General features: G+C 36.8%; 1 protein-coding gene across 2 annotated transcripts in view, besides 1 other annotated feature; it reads right to left on the bottom strand.

The window, feature by feature from the left end:
- The window catches only part of GPC6 (glypican 6), a 1,191,492-nt gene that overhangs the window by 993,193 nt on the left and 183,626 nt on the right, over positions 1–14,673 (bottom strand). The gene's annotated exons all lie outside the window — the stretch shown is intronic.
- Positions 404–946: an enhancer, noted in NCBI's record as "OCT4-NANOG hESC enhancer chr13:94066135-94066677 (GRCh37/hg19 assembly coordinates)". NCBI's record gives its function as "activates a minimal SCP1, AML or CMV promoter by ChIP-STARR-seq in naive H9 embryonic stem cells {active_cell/tissue: H9 hESC(naive)}" and the evidence as "EXISTENCE:reporter gene assay evidence [ECO:0000049][PMID:30033119]".

The raw sequence follows: 14,673 nt of genomic DNA, 5'->3' as shown, positions 1-14,673 counted from the left end.
ATAACATTAAGAGGGAGGGGAAAAGAGCTTTAAGAAAAAGCCTAGGAAATAAATATCTCCTGCATCTGCCTCCACCTCTCCATTCCCATCATCACCACTTTGGCAAACCCTTCATTATCTTTTACAGTAATCGCCTATCCAAACTGCTGTCCGTGGTCTCTTCCTCTGCCCAGGCACCACACATACTCATTCCCACCAGAAGTCTCTTCCTAAAATACTTCTGGCTACTTCAGACTACTCGCTATTTATTCATTTGTGAAACATTTCCTCAACACCCACAGTGTGCCAATCACTGTTCTAAATTCTGGATATATAAAGATGAGTAACAGTCCTCATCCTCAGAGTTCCAAGAAACAGACGATCGTATTGCTGAATTTGTGCAATTTTGCAGTCCCGGAGTAAGAAAGCAAAACAAACATTTACAATGAAAAGTAGCCAGTGATAATAGTGCATGCTACAAAAGCACTATATGAGCACAGAAAAGGGCAAAAAGAATTCTCCCTTAGTAGGAAAAACTGTGTAGAATTGATGGAGAATGAAGCATCTTAGCTGTTAGGGGAGGGTGAATGGGTTAGGGAAATTGAGAAGCAATGTGAGTGGACCACCTCGACTGAAAAACACAAAGTACATGAACAAAGCAGAAGTACCTAGTTGACATGGTTACATGAACCAAGCAACCACTCAAAGGTCGCTAGTTAAGATTCCTTCCCACCCTCCAGGTTGGAATGGTTTATAATTAGCATAGGCAAATATGTGGTCCCTGTTCATCTTTTAATTTTTAGTGCAAGTGGGTGACAGAAAGGAGGTTTATTCTTTTTGGTGGGAAGTTGCCAACATCAGTATATTTTCAGCAATTGTGTCACAAGAAAGTTAAGTGAAAGGAAACACATTTTATAAGAATGAAACCTAAACTAACTTGATTTTTACTATAGGTATTTTGAAGAATATGCCAAGGGGCATTTTCCCCCTTTTAAGTGCAGAATTATTCCTGAGTGTGTATTCTTTATCATTTTAAACACTTATTTTGAAAAATTTCAAGGAATGAGTTAAAGGGAAAAATTAGAATGAAGAAGATTCTAAGGAGATACACCATCAATTTATTTATAATCTACATCCTTGAAAATAGGTGAAAGCATCATGCATCCTTCCATAATACTATCAGGATCATAGCATTTCTCCAAATATATCATATGATTGCATTACTGAATAATAGCAAAAAATCCACCAACTTCTCAACTTTATACTCATCTCTTCCGGAAAAAAAAAAAAAGAACAAAATACAACACTATTTTAAAAAAGAATTGACAGATGAAAGTTAAATAAGGGTCCACTTATGTTTATGACAGGCCTAAGTTTATATATCCAGTAGATCTGCAATCTCACACGCAGTTATATAGTTCATATCATGTAGTAGGTAGTCAAAAATGCTAGTGAAATTGGTTCACTCAGAGGGTTATACACAGTCATGTAAATAGATTTTTAAATAGACTCAGTTGCAGCGATATTGATTATTAAACCCTGCAATAATCACTCCTATCAGATACTCATTAAACATTTCTTCGTAATGTGAAATAACTATTTGGAGTTTACCATCTGCTAGAGACACCATAAGTGTAAAGAGAAACACGTTTTCTCTCATACTGCTGTCTGAACAAATCAACACTAATGGTTTTCTATGTAAATATTTTTTCCTAAATAAACTCAGACCAACACAACATGGATTTATTTTTATCACTGATAATCACATTTTCTTTTCTCTGTCTTTATAAACAACATCTACCATTAGTCCTCACCCAAGTAAATTCTATGCTTGTATGAAGATAGAAATTAAATTTGTGTTTCTTATACAAAGAATCTAGGCAGGTTTCCAGATATAATTTATGGAAGGACCTGTAATTTATTTTCTAATCATCACAGTTTGTTAATCATTGCAGGTCTGTGGGAGGGGGTAAAAAGTGGCACTAGGATTCACACACAAGTAAATAATTATAGAGCCTGACTGGTGCTGCCACTGTGCTGGCCAGACCTTCCTGCAGGGTCATGCTTGATTTTACACATAATGCTTGATTTTGTTTGGAAAACATGTTTCTTCTTCTGGGTAGATATATTTCTATTTGATGATCCAGAAATAAAACAATTAATGGCCTGGATTTATTTGTTTGTTTGTTTTTGAGATGGAGTCTCACTCTGTCACCCAGGTTGGAGTGACGTAGTGCAATCTCTGCCCACTGCAACTTTCACTACCTGGGTTCAAGCAATATTCCTGCTTCAGCCTCCCAAGTAGCTGGGGCTACAGGCATGTGCCACCATGCCCAGCTAATTTTTGAATTTTTAGTAGAGACAGGGGTTTCACCATATTGGCCAGGCTGGTCTCGAACCCCTGACCTCAGGTGATCCACCTGCCTCGGCCTCTCAAAGTGCTGGGATTACAGGCATGATTCACTGTGCCCGGCTTGGCCTGACATTTTTTAATGAAAGATGTATTAAATGGTACCTTTGGCAGTTAGTAAACCATACTGGAATTTATTAATACTATTGTCTTGAAAAGGTGGTGGCTATACAACTTTCAATTGGGCACTGAAAATGGAGTTGGTTGACATATGTCAATGGAGCATTATATGTACAATAAAGCTAACACTAGTCACCCATTTCCCTTCTAAAAGTAGAGTCCTCTCCACTTATTATTTATATCTTCACTCTCATATAAGGAATGTTATCACGGTATTAAAGTGGTGTTGATGCAGATACGTTTCAGTAGGGTCATGTTTGAATAATGGAGAGAATATAATGGCTATTTATTTTTATTTTATTTATTTTTTTTTTTTGAGACATAGTCCCTCTCTGTTGCCCAGGCTGGAGTAAAGTGGCATGATCTTGGCTCACTGCGACCTCTGCCTCCCAGGTTCAAGCAATTCTCCTGCCCCAGCCTCCTGAGTAGCTGGGACTACAGGTGTGCACCACCAAGCCAGGCTAGTGTTTTTGTATTTTTAGTAGAGACGGGGATTCACCAGGTTGGGTAGGCTGGTCTCTAACTCCTGACCTCAGGTGATAGACCCACCTCGACCTCCCAAAGTGCTGAGATTACAGGAGTGAGCGACTGCACCTGGGCCTATAATGGCTTTTCAGTAACATTGGTGTATAGAACCTTTGTCAATGAATTTTCTTTATACAGAGAAGATAGAGCTGTTGTCTTTTTAAAATATTTTTCTTCTTGAAATTCCACTAAAGAATGAACTTCTATAAGTGTGCCCAGAGAATCATACTGATTAGAGAATAATAGTAATAACCACAGAATGTGCTGTGCTCCCACTGTCTGGGAATTTCTTATCTGCGCACTTATGTCTGACTGCACTAAGTGGTTCTTTCTCAATCAACATTTGAAAAATTTCACTCTCTGCTCCACGTCTGTAGCCACTAAGATAATCAGACTGACACAAAGTACAGCCCAAGGGTCTGCCTTGGTTGCTGGGAATAAATGGAGGTGAACAGACACTGTCACAGCAATCCTTGTGACTACACTGTGTGGCACATTGGCTTGACAGTGTGGGCTATGATGAGGCAAGCAGGTCATGAACAGACACAGCAGGTATGGTGTCTGTTGACGAAGACTCCAACACAAGTAGGGCCATATTAGCAGATGGATTAATCTCTGTGCTTCAACTTGACTATCAAGAAATGGGAAGCCAGTTTTGGACTCGACCAGCCTTCGAGGAAATATCTTAACTAAAAATGTAATCTCTCTATATCTGGGTATCAACAGTCATGAGATGGATAATAGCAAAATGTATTTGTGTTTATGTAATGTGGGAAACACAAGAAGTAGGGGAAGGCTCAATGGAAGGGAATGTCATTGACATATATGGATGCAATCATTGCAAGTCGGGGCTGGATAAAATTTCCATAGCTGAATTTTGCCTAGAACTGTTTTGAATGCTGCTGAGTATCATTTCCCCTGAGAAGAAAAGACATTCTCTAAAGAAAGACTCCAGTGACAGTCCCTCTAGCGAGACTTGTCATTGAAAGAAGTTTAAGATGAAAGTTATAATTGCTTTTCAGAAGCTACATTATGAGCCAGAAACTCAAAGACTATCCTGGAATTCTAGGGTAACACTTCATAAGATTTTTCTTCTTCTTTCACATGAAAAATAAAGTCCATTAATTTAATATACTGTGGAGGCCCATTTATTATATAGTAGTCTTAGAAACGAAAAAGAAAATTGACTTGTCGTAATAAATTTGTATCCCATCTGCCAGAACTCACTAATACTATCTCTGCCTGACTCTTTGCAAGGTATTAAAGGGACAAACTCTGTGTAAATCATTTAAATAACTGACCTATATTCTTTCAGGCAGGGTATAGTCCTAATGCAGGCATAATATCCCTATTAGTACCCGTGAGCATGCCACTAAGTGATCATAGCTTTACCAGCTGCTCTTCAACTTGATATATACTCAAGGCCTAGTTAAGCTTTATTGTTAAATAATGATAAATGAATACTGATAGAAAGTGCTTTCTGAAACATCTTTTTATTTAACAGTTGAAAGAAGTATGGTTTGTAGCTAAAGGTTTTGTATTGGAAAAAATGCAACCTATGAATAATCAATTGGGCCATGTTTTAGGAATTAAAAGATTCCTATCTGAGAGAAGCAAGTGAATAACTATAGAATAAAATGATTAACAGGTCAGCAGATATTAAATCCAATAGTACTGAAAGAGGTTGAATCCCTGAGCTGGACTCAATCTTGGATTAATCTTTCAGCCCCAGCTTGAATATCAAGAAACAGAAGCCAGCTTTGGATGTAGGCCAGTCTCCAGGGGAAGAACCTAATACAGCAAGTTTCTTCACCCTTAATTTACCCAATCAAAAAGGAATTGGTGATGTTCTACCAAACTAGGTATAGGCTAGGTCTTGGAAATGAACAAATGACTCTTATTTTGTTTTCTTTTACACTTCTGGCCATTTCCTTAATTTATTTCAATTAATGTCAATGCCCCATCTCACAGTTTGAACGTGAAAATCTATCCTCCTTTGATTATTCCCGCCCCTTAATTGAAAACGTTTACAATTACATAGAGCTTAAAGTATCACACATAAGGTGCTTAGCATAAAGCCTGACACACAGAAAAAGCTCAACAAATGTTAGCCATAGCTATTCTTGTTAATATTATTTTCTTCTTTTGAGATTTGCTGAAGTATGAACAACAAAAGGTTCCAGGCCACAAGGCAATTGGTGTCAAGTGCTAAGAGGGGAAGAGTTCTTCATTTATCATAGATGCAAGTTGAAAGAGAAGCAGTACACACTTGCCATCCCTAGTTGAGGCAACACCTTCCCTTTTTCAGTTATGGGAATCAAGTCCAAGAGCGAGGAAGTGTGGCTCTGGCCACAGACCACGTTAGCTAAAGATGGAAGATGAACTCAATTCCAGGCACAAGTTGCAAGTGTGACATATCAAAAGTAAGTACTATTTTCTTTCTGTTTCAAGTTTCAAGAACTCTTGTTTATAGTTACTTAAAAATCACTGTGGATTAAATAAGAATGTTATATACTTTTGTCCATCTTAATCACTAATGAGTAGGGCAATGCAGCTGCCAGCTGGCTGGCAGTAATACGTGACAACTATATACCGCAAATGGCAACTAGATTACACTAGGGTGCATGGGACTGACTCATCATAAGAAAACACATGGATGTATAAATAAGCAGCTTGATAAAGCAAATTTGTTTATTCATTTGACCCTTATAGAAGTTTTACTTCCCTCCAGTCTGACGAACTCTCTAACTAGTAAGCTCACTTCAATTATAAGTGACAATGTTCCCAAATGTACTTACTGTACTGTCCTCAGATTGAAGTATAAGTAAAACTCCATCATCAACTTTCTCCCAAACTAGTTTTCAATTATTTTTTTCATTGCATAGGCTGGGATTTTTGGTTTACTTCTTTCCTCTCATTCAGGAATGGCAAATACTGTATGTGACATCCAGGATTATATGGCCCCATCCCTGCACTAGGCAGACATCACTAATCAACCACAGCCCTCCTTACCTACTACCTCCATAATAACTTACTCCCTCTCTTACACTCCCTAGCAGTGCTTTGCCAGAGCCAGTTTTTCAGACCTGAGTACTCATTCTATCCAAGATTCCTAAGGGAAAGTTCTGTGCTGGTCTTTGCCTGCATAATTTTGTCATGCATTACTTAGTTTCCAATTTAATCATGCTACTGTCAATTTCCTATTCAGCCACCACTGGTTCTTCCCTGTTGCTCACCAGACATTAACTCAAAATCAGTTTTGCACTGCTTTCATTGCACCTATCCAATAATATTGCTCAGTTTGCTTCAACAGTCAGACAGGACTCCAGTTACATCTCCTTAGTGTCAGCACACAAGACTTGCTCCTGCATAAGTCTATGCACCTAATGAACACCCACATGGGACTTCTTTTTCTCATGTCTCCTCCATCTACCCAGTGCTGTACCCATCCTGTTACACCCAGATCATGTCTCACCTCTTCTATTCTAGTCCACAGAAGACTCAGCCTTCTCTATAAAGATCTGTATTTTTATAAATGATTAAACATAGTTTGAAATGGCTATTGAGTTATTTCACATGCTCTCAACCACTCACTCTTCCAGAGGTGAGAGTTGGCACAGTTTTCCATAGATGACATTGTTAGGGGTACATTTTTCTACCAAGGCCTCCTGTCCCAAATCCAATCTTATTTCCAGAATGAAATTAAGAGTCTTGGAGGAAAATAGATTTTTTTAAAACTGGTAGATTTCTCTTAGTATTGTAGCTTATGAAAAAAGGATAAAACCTTGCACATAATCCTGTAAGAAAAATCTCTATAAAGGCACAGAAATAGTGAGCATTATCTGAGCTCCTCAACACAACAATCCTCCATGTGTTTCCAAGACTGAATATTTAAATGGGAAAAGTTGTTTACCACCCTTTGCAGTTAGGAAATTAATCTTTACACAGCCATATGATATAAACCAGAATTAGCTTCTCCATTTTAAAAGGACCACATTTTGCACAAATTAAAATGACTTGCTCAAAGTTACCCACAGAATCTGAGCAGAATGAGATGGAACCCTTGTCATCCAAGGCTTCTGGCATAATATATAACTCTGTGAACCATAATGCCACATAACATACAGGCATATCTCAACATCTTTTATTATGACATATTACAGTTTTCTACTTGGTCAACTTTTCTATCAATTACCATATTCAAACAACTGCCTGTACTTGAGATTTTTCTCCTTGTGTAAGCCTGTAAGTAAAGAAAATGTGCCTTTTTAGAAATGCAGCATTTTGCAATTGAATCCCTTAGAATTTAATCAGATATTTGACATTGGATACTTTATCATAATAACTCAAAGTCAGGCACGGTCTCAGCCATAAAATACAATGAGTTGGTGTTTTTTTTTACCCAACTTTGCAATCTAAAAATTTTCTAACCTTCAAGAAAGTTAAAAGTACAAGGAAGATGTGACCCACCACCTAGATTTGTCAATTAATATTTTTGCCATATTTGCTTTTTTCTCTCTCTCTCTCTAAATAAAAAATATACATATGTATACCTACACATTACTTCATTTTTTGCTGATTATTTGAAAATAAGTTGCAAATATCTTGACTTTTCCTTCTAAACATATCATGTTTCTCCAAAAATAAGGACATTCTCCTGCATAACAGCCAAACTATTAATCACATAAAGAAACTTAACATTGGTGATACAATACAGTGATACAACAATAATATACAACTTAACATTGATGCAACCTTAACATTGATACAATCTAACGTAGAGTGCCCAATTATCCCATTTAAATTTTCTTTTTAAAAATCAAAATCCAATATAAAATCAAAAATTACATTTTGTTGCTATGTCCCTTTAGTTTTCTTTAATCTAGAACAGTCCTTCACTTTTGTCTTGTCTTTCATGAAATTGACACTTTTTAAATATTTCAGGTTAGCTGTTTCGTGAAATAGCTCATGCTCCGTACTTCTCTGATGGTTCCTTAATGAGTAGATTTGGCAAGAATGGTACATGGGAGTTGCATACTTCCCATTGAATCACATCAAGAGACACATCAAGACAATAGTACCCCATTTTCATCCAAATGTGATCACTTGGACTGATGCAAGTTTAGCATTGAATAAGATGGTATACAAATTGGTAATTCTTAATTCATGTCTCACTTCTGTGAGTTTGTTATTCAGTGGTTTATGTTAGTCTACTAAAACACACATACATGAAGTTATTGTTCAAAAAAGGATGCACATTTTTATAAACTTTACTTATAGAAGTAAATTACTTTTCTAATATAACCTAATAAATGTTAATGAACTGACTAGAAGTGAGGAGACAGACTAATGGGGACAGAAAAGATGCTGGGTTGAGAGCCAGAAATCCTGAATTTTCCATCCAGGCGCTACCAACAACTCACTGCAGAGTCCAGATGGCAGAAACATTTCATTTCTTGTGGCAGTTCTGACTGATTTGTGGTGGCTGCCTGGAGCACTGTATTTAAAAGGATTCTAAGGCTGCACAACAATTTTGCTTGAGAAGTGTTTTAACTGATCGTGTGGCATGAGTTTTGCAGGAAGAAAATGATAGCTTGTGTGTGATACATTAAGCATGGCCACAAATTCTTCATCACTCTTTCCACCAAGAGGCAGAGTCTACTTCACCAAACATTGAATTTGGGCTGTCCTTTGACTGGCTTTAATGAATAGAATGTAGAAGTGACACTATGCAAATGCTGGAATCTAAGCTTCAAGAAGACTTGTGGCTTATGTCTTCACCTTCTGTGCTAACACTGCAGGCAATAAAGCCTTAGCCTCATCTGAACACCCAACACCAACTACCAGACATGGGAGTGGGGCCTCTAGGACTTTCCAGTCTAATTGGCCCTGTGGCTGAATGCAGCTGCATGAAGGGGCCCAGGCAAAGCCAATAGAGGATCCACCCCACCGTCCAGCAGTATTGAAGGAAATAAATGTGTGATGTTTCAAAAGGCACCACATGTGGAAGTAGTTTATTACACACCAGTAGATAACTTATATAACATATCTCTGTTTTATTGTTCTGTTTTGTTTCATTTTACCCTGGTCATTGTCTCCTTTAAGTCTGACAAACATCAGTTTACTTATCCTTGAAGAAAAAAAAAAGGATTATATTGAGGTTAAAGAAAATTTCAGTGGTAAGATTCAAGCATAGAATCAAATTGGCACTCTCAGTTCCATTCAAGGAAATGCACCCCAGTGTGCACGGACAAAATGATAAAAGCATTACATTAGAAACTAAGAACATTCCACCTGGAAATGACTTTTTACCACTTCAAACATTTCATTATAAAGATGAGAGAACTGATGACTCCAGCGGCGAAAGGATTTCTCTAATACTGCAGTGAGCTAGACATTAATTCTGGTTCTGTAAATTCTTCAATACAGCTGCCAGAACATAGCTGAATCTGGTCCATTTTTGAATCCCATACCTTGTGTGCACTCTGATGGTGCCGCAACACCATATCTCAGATCCGGTAATTAAAGTGTATGTGCCAGGAGATAGATCCACACAGTGGATTTGGTCAAAAAAGAACACGTGTGGACAGAACCCAAGATGAAAACAAGATGAAGGAGGGGGTGGCACAGGACATCATAAGAATGATAGCATCTCTGGCTACCTTTTCTTCTTGTATATTTGCTTCTTTATAAACCAGTTTCCCTAGGAATTCCTAAATAAAAATAAACCCAACTGATTAAAAAAGAATAATCATACCCACGCTGAAATTTAAATAGAATAGCTTTCCTCAATATTCATTAATTTTCATATTTCATTAAAGAAATTCCCATGTTTAATCTTTGCCTTGCTATTCTCATCTTCAAGTATTTGATTAATGAGGTGATTAACCAGAATGAGCTTTAAATCTTCTATGTGATAGTATTTATTTTAAAGAAAACCAGACTGTCATAACTGTTATTGTTGTTAATCTAATTAATTAAATAAATAAATATCAGATTGATAGAAATCTACCAATCTAATAAATGTTGAACCTAATTCTGTTATCATAAAGTTTTATAGGGAATAGGAATTTTATTACCTCCGTAAGAAAGACAATTTGACAAAAGATTTTGGGAAATCCCAAAATTTTTCCTGACTATGTTTAATCATTGCAGTGGTAACGAATACATGTAGCAGAAAATAAGACTGATTTTAAAATGTAATTTAGGAAGCTAATCAATCAAGCAATCTACCAAGAATTTGTCTTTCTACACAAAACGTCCTGAGATGCTTGTTTATATTTTAAATGAGTATATTCTAATATAATTTAATTTTACAAAATTAACTGGAATAACACTCCTGTGGCAATGTGAGGTCAAAGAAAAATGTAAAGACTTAACACTTTTATGATGGCAACCACTGCCATGAGTAAAAGCCTAGTTCAGAATTTACTGTAACCTGGTCCACACTCCACGCCTTCAGTTTTTCTTAATTATAGGTTCTCCTTGATGGCTATAGTTTTGTTTGTTTGCTTTTTCCTCTCAAACCCTCCTAATTGTTCCCCAAAATATATCAAATCCCAGAACTCCAGTCTTCGTTATAGTTGGTTTGTTTTATTTTTTAGTCTCTTGAGGTTAATATTCAAAAATGAAAATAAAGTTTAATTGTGGTAAACAGGTATTAGGTAAAAGCCTAAATAGAGATCTTTTATCACCACAAAGTTTAGTCATTTGAGGTAACAGGAAACAATTTTGTCTCTTAGCTCATAAGAGAAATCTGAGCTCTCTCCCAGGAAAACAGCATCCCCTCAAAAAATATGCCAACTTCATAATATCAAGATGATTCCATGAAGACAGAAAGCATCTTTATTCTATAATAAATCAAAATTTCCAATAAGAAAGGTATATTAAGACAAAGGTCTATCTAATAAAATGAATTTTTAAATGTATATTTATTTTCAACCACAAAGCTCATGTTGAATTAACTAAATATGTAATTCATAAAATGACAAACTCTGGAGAGAGAGAGAAAAAAAAATTAGCTTGATTAAACTCACAAAGAAGGCTCCAATTGCCTTTAAAAACAATATCTGAGGCATGAGCGAGCCAAGCTGGACTAGAAAACCAAGAACTGTATTATAAACCAGAAAGTGGTCAGCAGAGATGATCACATGAAATAATCAGACAGAAACAGTGTTTAGTGGTGGATTGCAATACAGTAGTTTAACCAAATATCTACAAATTTAACCAAATATCTACAAAAGAGCATTGACTATGCCATCTTAGGAGAGGACATCTCTATATGAGTCCACTAATTATGATGAGGTATTAATAAGGTATAATGAAATGAATAGCTGTCTACGGTATCCGTGGTCAAAACCTAACGGATTATGGAGTAAGGAAGTGAAGGCACAAGAAAAGGAATAGCTTCAGGAAGCCTCACAAAACCGCTCTTGAACTTTTACTAAAAGAAGAGCCAGACCAACCAGTGTAGACCTGAAATTGAATCACCCTGGGGTGAAACCAGGTCTTGTTTTCAGACCAATAATCAACTTGTTAAATCAGAACCTAAAACCTTGGCTTGAGAGAATATTATTGTTTTGAAGGCCCAAAGTGTCAATATCTTTGTAATGGTTTAATTCTCAGTATAATAGTAAGATATGAGATCATTGAAATATTCTATGTATATCTGATCTATTTTAAGGAGTTGAAGCATTTAACAGGTCTCTTTTATTAAATCCTTATTTTTATTGACATTGAGAATGTGCCTAGGTTTCAATCAACTCTTAAGTGGTTAGAGAATTAGATTTATAAATGTGTATTTTTCCTAATTAAAAGTACTATCCACATAATTTTTTTAAAAAAATTATCTCAAAGCGATGATTTTTCAAGATATGTATACTCATTAGTAGACAATTTCCATAGTCTTATCCAAGTGTCTGAGGAGGCACAAAAACAGGAAGTGATCAAGTTATCTATTTATATTACATTGGAAAATGGGTCCAATAAGCAAGCTGAGATTGACTTCTCGTAGAGCATGTATTATGTGAAGCACTGACCTCCAAAAAGGGTCCAGTGGAATAGACCAGGAGGGAAAGGCTCATCTCACACATATTTTAAGGCTGTTAGTTGAATAGTATACAATCAAACCTGCTAGATTTTGGGAGCTTTCCAGATAGAAATCAAGGCACATATGGCTACTGTCAGTACGGTGTAGCGCTAAGGACACAAGCCCTAAATTCAGACCGGCCTGGCCATGGCAATTTCCTCAGCTGTTTCCAAAACTGAATATATTTCATGCATCAAATGCAGCTAACTTTACATTTCATTGAATACTAGAGATAAAAGGGACCCCAGAGAGCATCTTATCCAGGGGCCTGCTTTTACAGATTAGAAAATCATTCATTAAGAATAAGAAGGTGAAAGGCCGCACTGTACATCTGGGATGGCGTGCTACAAACACTGAGTTTTGTTTGAGTGCTCTCTCTCCTGCATTGCCCTAGCGCTTATGAAGTTGGCTCGGCACTTGGAGAATTAATTAGAAGCAGTAACTGATGTATTATCTCATAGTGGAAAAAAAGCAGTAATGGTTCAGGAGTCAGAAGACCCAGGTTCCATACATACTTGCATTCCTTATTAGCACTGCTGTTCCCACAAGTTGTTAAAAAATCCCCTAGAAGTAAAAATCATGGATTTTAAGCACTAGAAACACCTGGCCTCTCATCCTGACTCTTCCTTTTACTTGTCCTATGACACTGGACCAGTTAGTTAACCAATTTGGGATTCACTCTCTTGTCCAATTAAGGGAGATAATGCTCGCCTTTCTCAAAGCGTTTCATGAGGATTAAATGAGACAAATATGTAAAACATCAGACACTCGGTAGACACTCAGATGTTAGTTTCCTTCCCCCAACCTTATTCTTAATTTATTCATGTGCAAAATAAGGAAAAAACCTACTCTATCTGACTAGTGCTCCGTGTTAATGGATATTAACCAAAGGGCAGGTATATAAATAAATAACTATATATGATCATTTAATATACACACAAAAAATAAACTAGCCAATGCTTTCCAAAAGCTTGAAATTGGATGCCTCTCATTAAAAAAAAAAAAAAAAAAAAAAAGTCCATTCATGAAGAAGACAGAAAAATAACACTCAGAAGCTGATTTCTCCTCAGCTCTTTACCGCATTGGCAATACCCTTCTAACCCCATCCTCCCTGGTTTCTAATCACACTGTGTAAGAGAGTAGATCCTAGTGTCTGAAACAATATCGCTTTTTTTTTTTAGTGCAACCTAATCTAAATTGACTTAATAAGGAAATAAATTGCAATAATTCTCTTTTAGAAAAAGAAAAGATGGTAACTATATGACATGTCTGGTTTAATGCAGTGTTTTCTATTATACTTTGGATAACATATAAATTCAGAACATGCTTACAGCAACCCCAGTGACCTGGACTCCACCCTCCCTGACAGCGCTCATTCCCTGCCCTCCCTTGTTGACTGTCCTCACTGTGGTCTGGTCCCACTGGATTTGAATAACTTTGCATACATTTGTCTGCCAAGTGCTATTCCAGGTACCAGGAATACGGCAGCAAAAATACAAAAGTCAAACACACACACACACACACACACACACACACACACACACACACACGACAAATACCTCTGCCCTTCTGCCTTCATAATGCCTGATTTCTGGTGGGAGAAGACCACAAAGGTGATATATGATTTCAACTTATATTATGCTACATATTGAATAATGCTATGCAGACAAAAAGCAAGGAGGAAAGTGAGCTGTGTATGAGAGCATTCTTTCAATTTCTGCCATAAACCAACCTCTTCCTGTTCCAGAGGCCCTGACATGTGTGTCCTGCTCCCACCCTCTCAAGTAATTCTGTCCTTGGCAAACTGTAACCCATCCCTCCCTCCTCAACTTTCCTATCTCTACTTTCCCACATCCCCCAGCTCTGCATCAAACCCCTCTTAGAGTATTTCACTGAAGTTTTTATTTTCCCCTCAAAGACATTATTACATTTTGCAATTATTTCTTTCTTTAGTTTTTAATTTTTAATTTTTCTGGGTATATAGTAGGTATACTACGAGGTACATGAGATATTTTGATACAGACATAAAATGCATGATCCTATCACAGAAAATTAGGTATCCATCCCCTCAAGTGTTATTCGTTTGTGTTACAAACAGCCCAATTATACTCTTTTAGTTATTTTAAAATGCACAATTAAATTGTTTTGACGGTAGTCACCTTGTTCTATCAAATACCTGGTATAATTCATTCTTTTTATTTTTGCATCCATTAACCATCCCCACCTCCCCCCACCCTGTCCCCGCCACTACCCTTCCTAACGTCTGGTAATCTGCAATTATTTCTATGATGATTTATTTCATCCTTAGTATCCCCAATGGATTCTAAGTCCTATGAGAACAGGGACTCTGTATTTTTTTTTTTTTTTGACCAGTGCCTAACACCAAGTTTTGTTGGCACTGAAGAAAATGTGTTGAATGGTAGAAGAAAGAAAGGGACAAAAGAGAAGAAGAAAAGGAAAGGAAGGAAAAGGAAAGGAAGACGGTAAAAAGGAAGGGAAGAAAGAATTCATAATTCGGGTCGGAAGAGGTGAGCTTAGAAAACCAAATCTC

Source organism: Homo sapiens, chromosome 13 (assembly GCF_000001405.40).
Source record: "Homo sapiens chromosome 13, GRCh38.p14 Primary Assembly".
Lineage (NCBI taxonomy): Eukaryota > Metazoa > Chordata > Mammalia > Primates > Hominidae > Homo > Homo sapiens.
The sequence above is the reverse complement of the archived record's forward strand: the minus strand, read 5'-3'. Positions and strand labels throughout refer to the sequence as shown.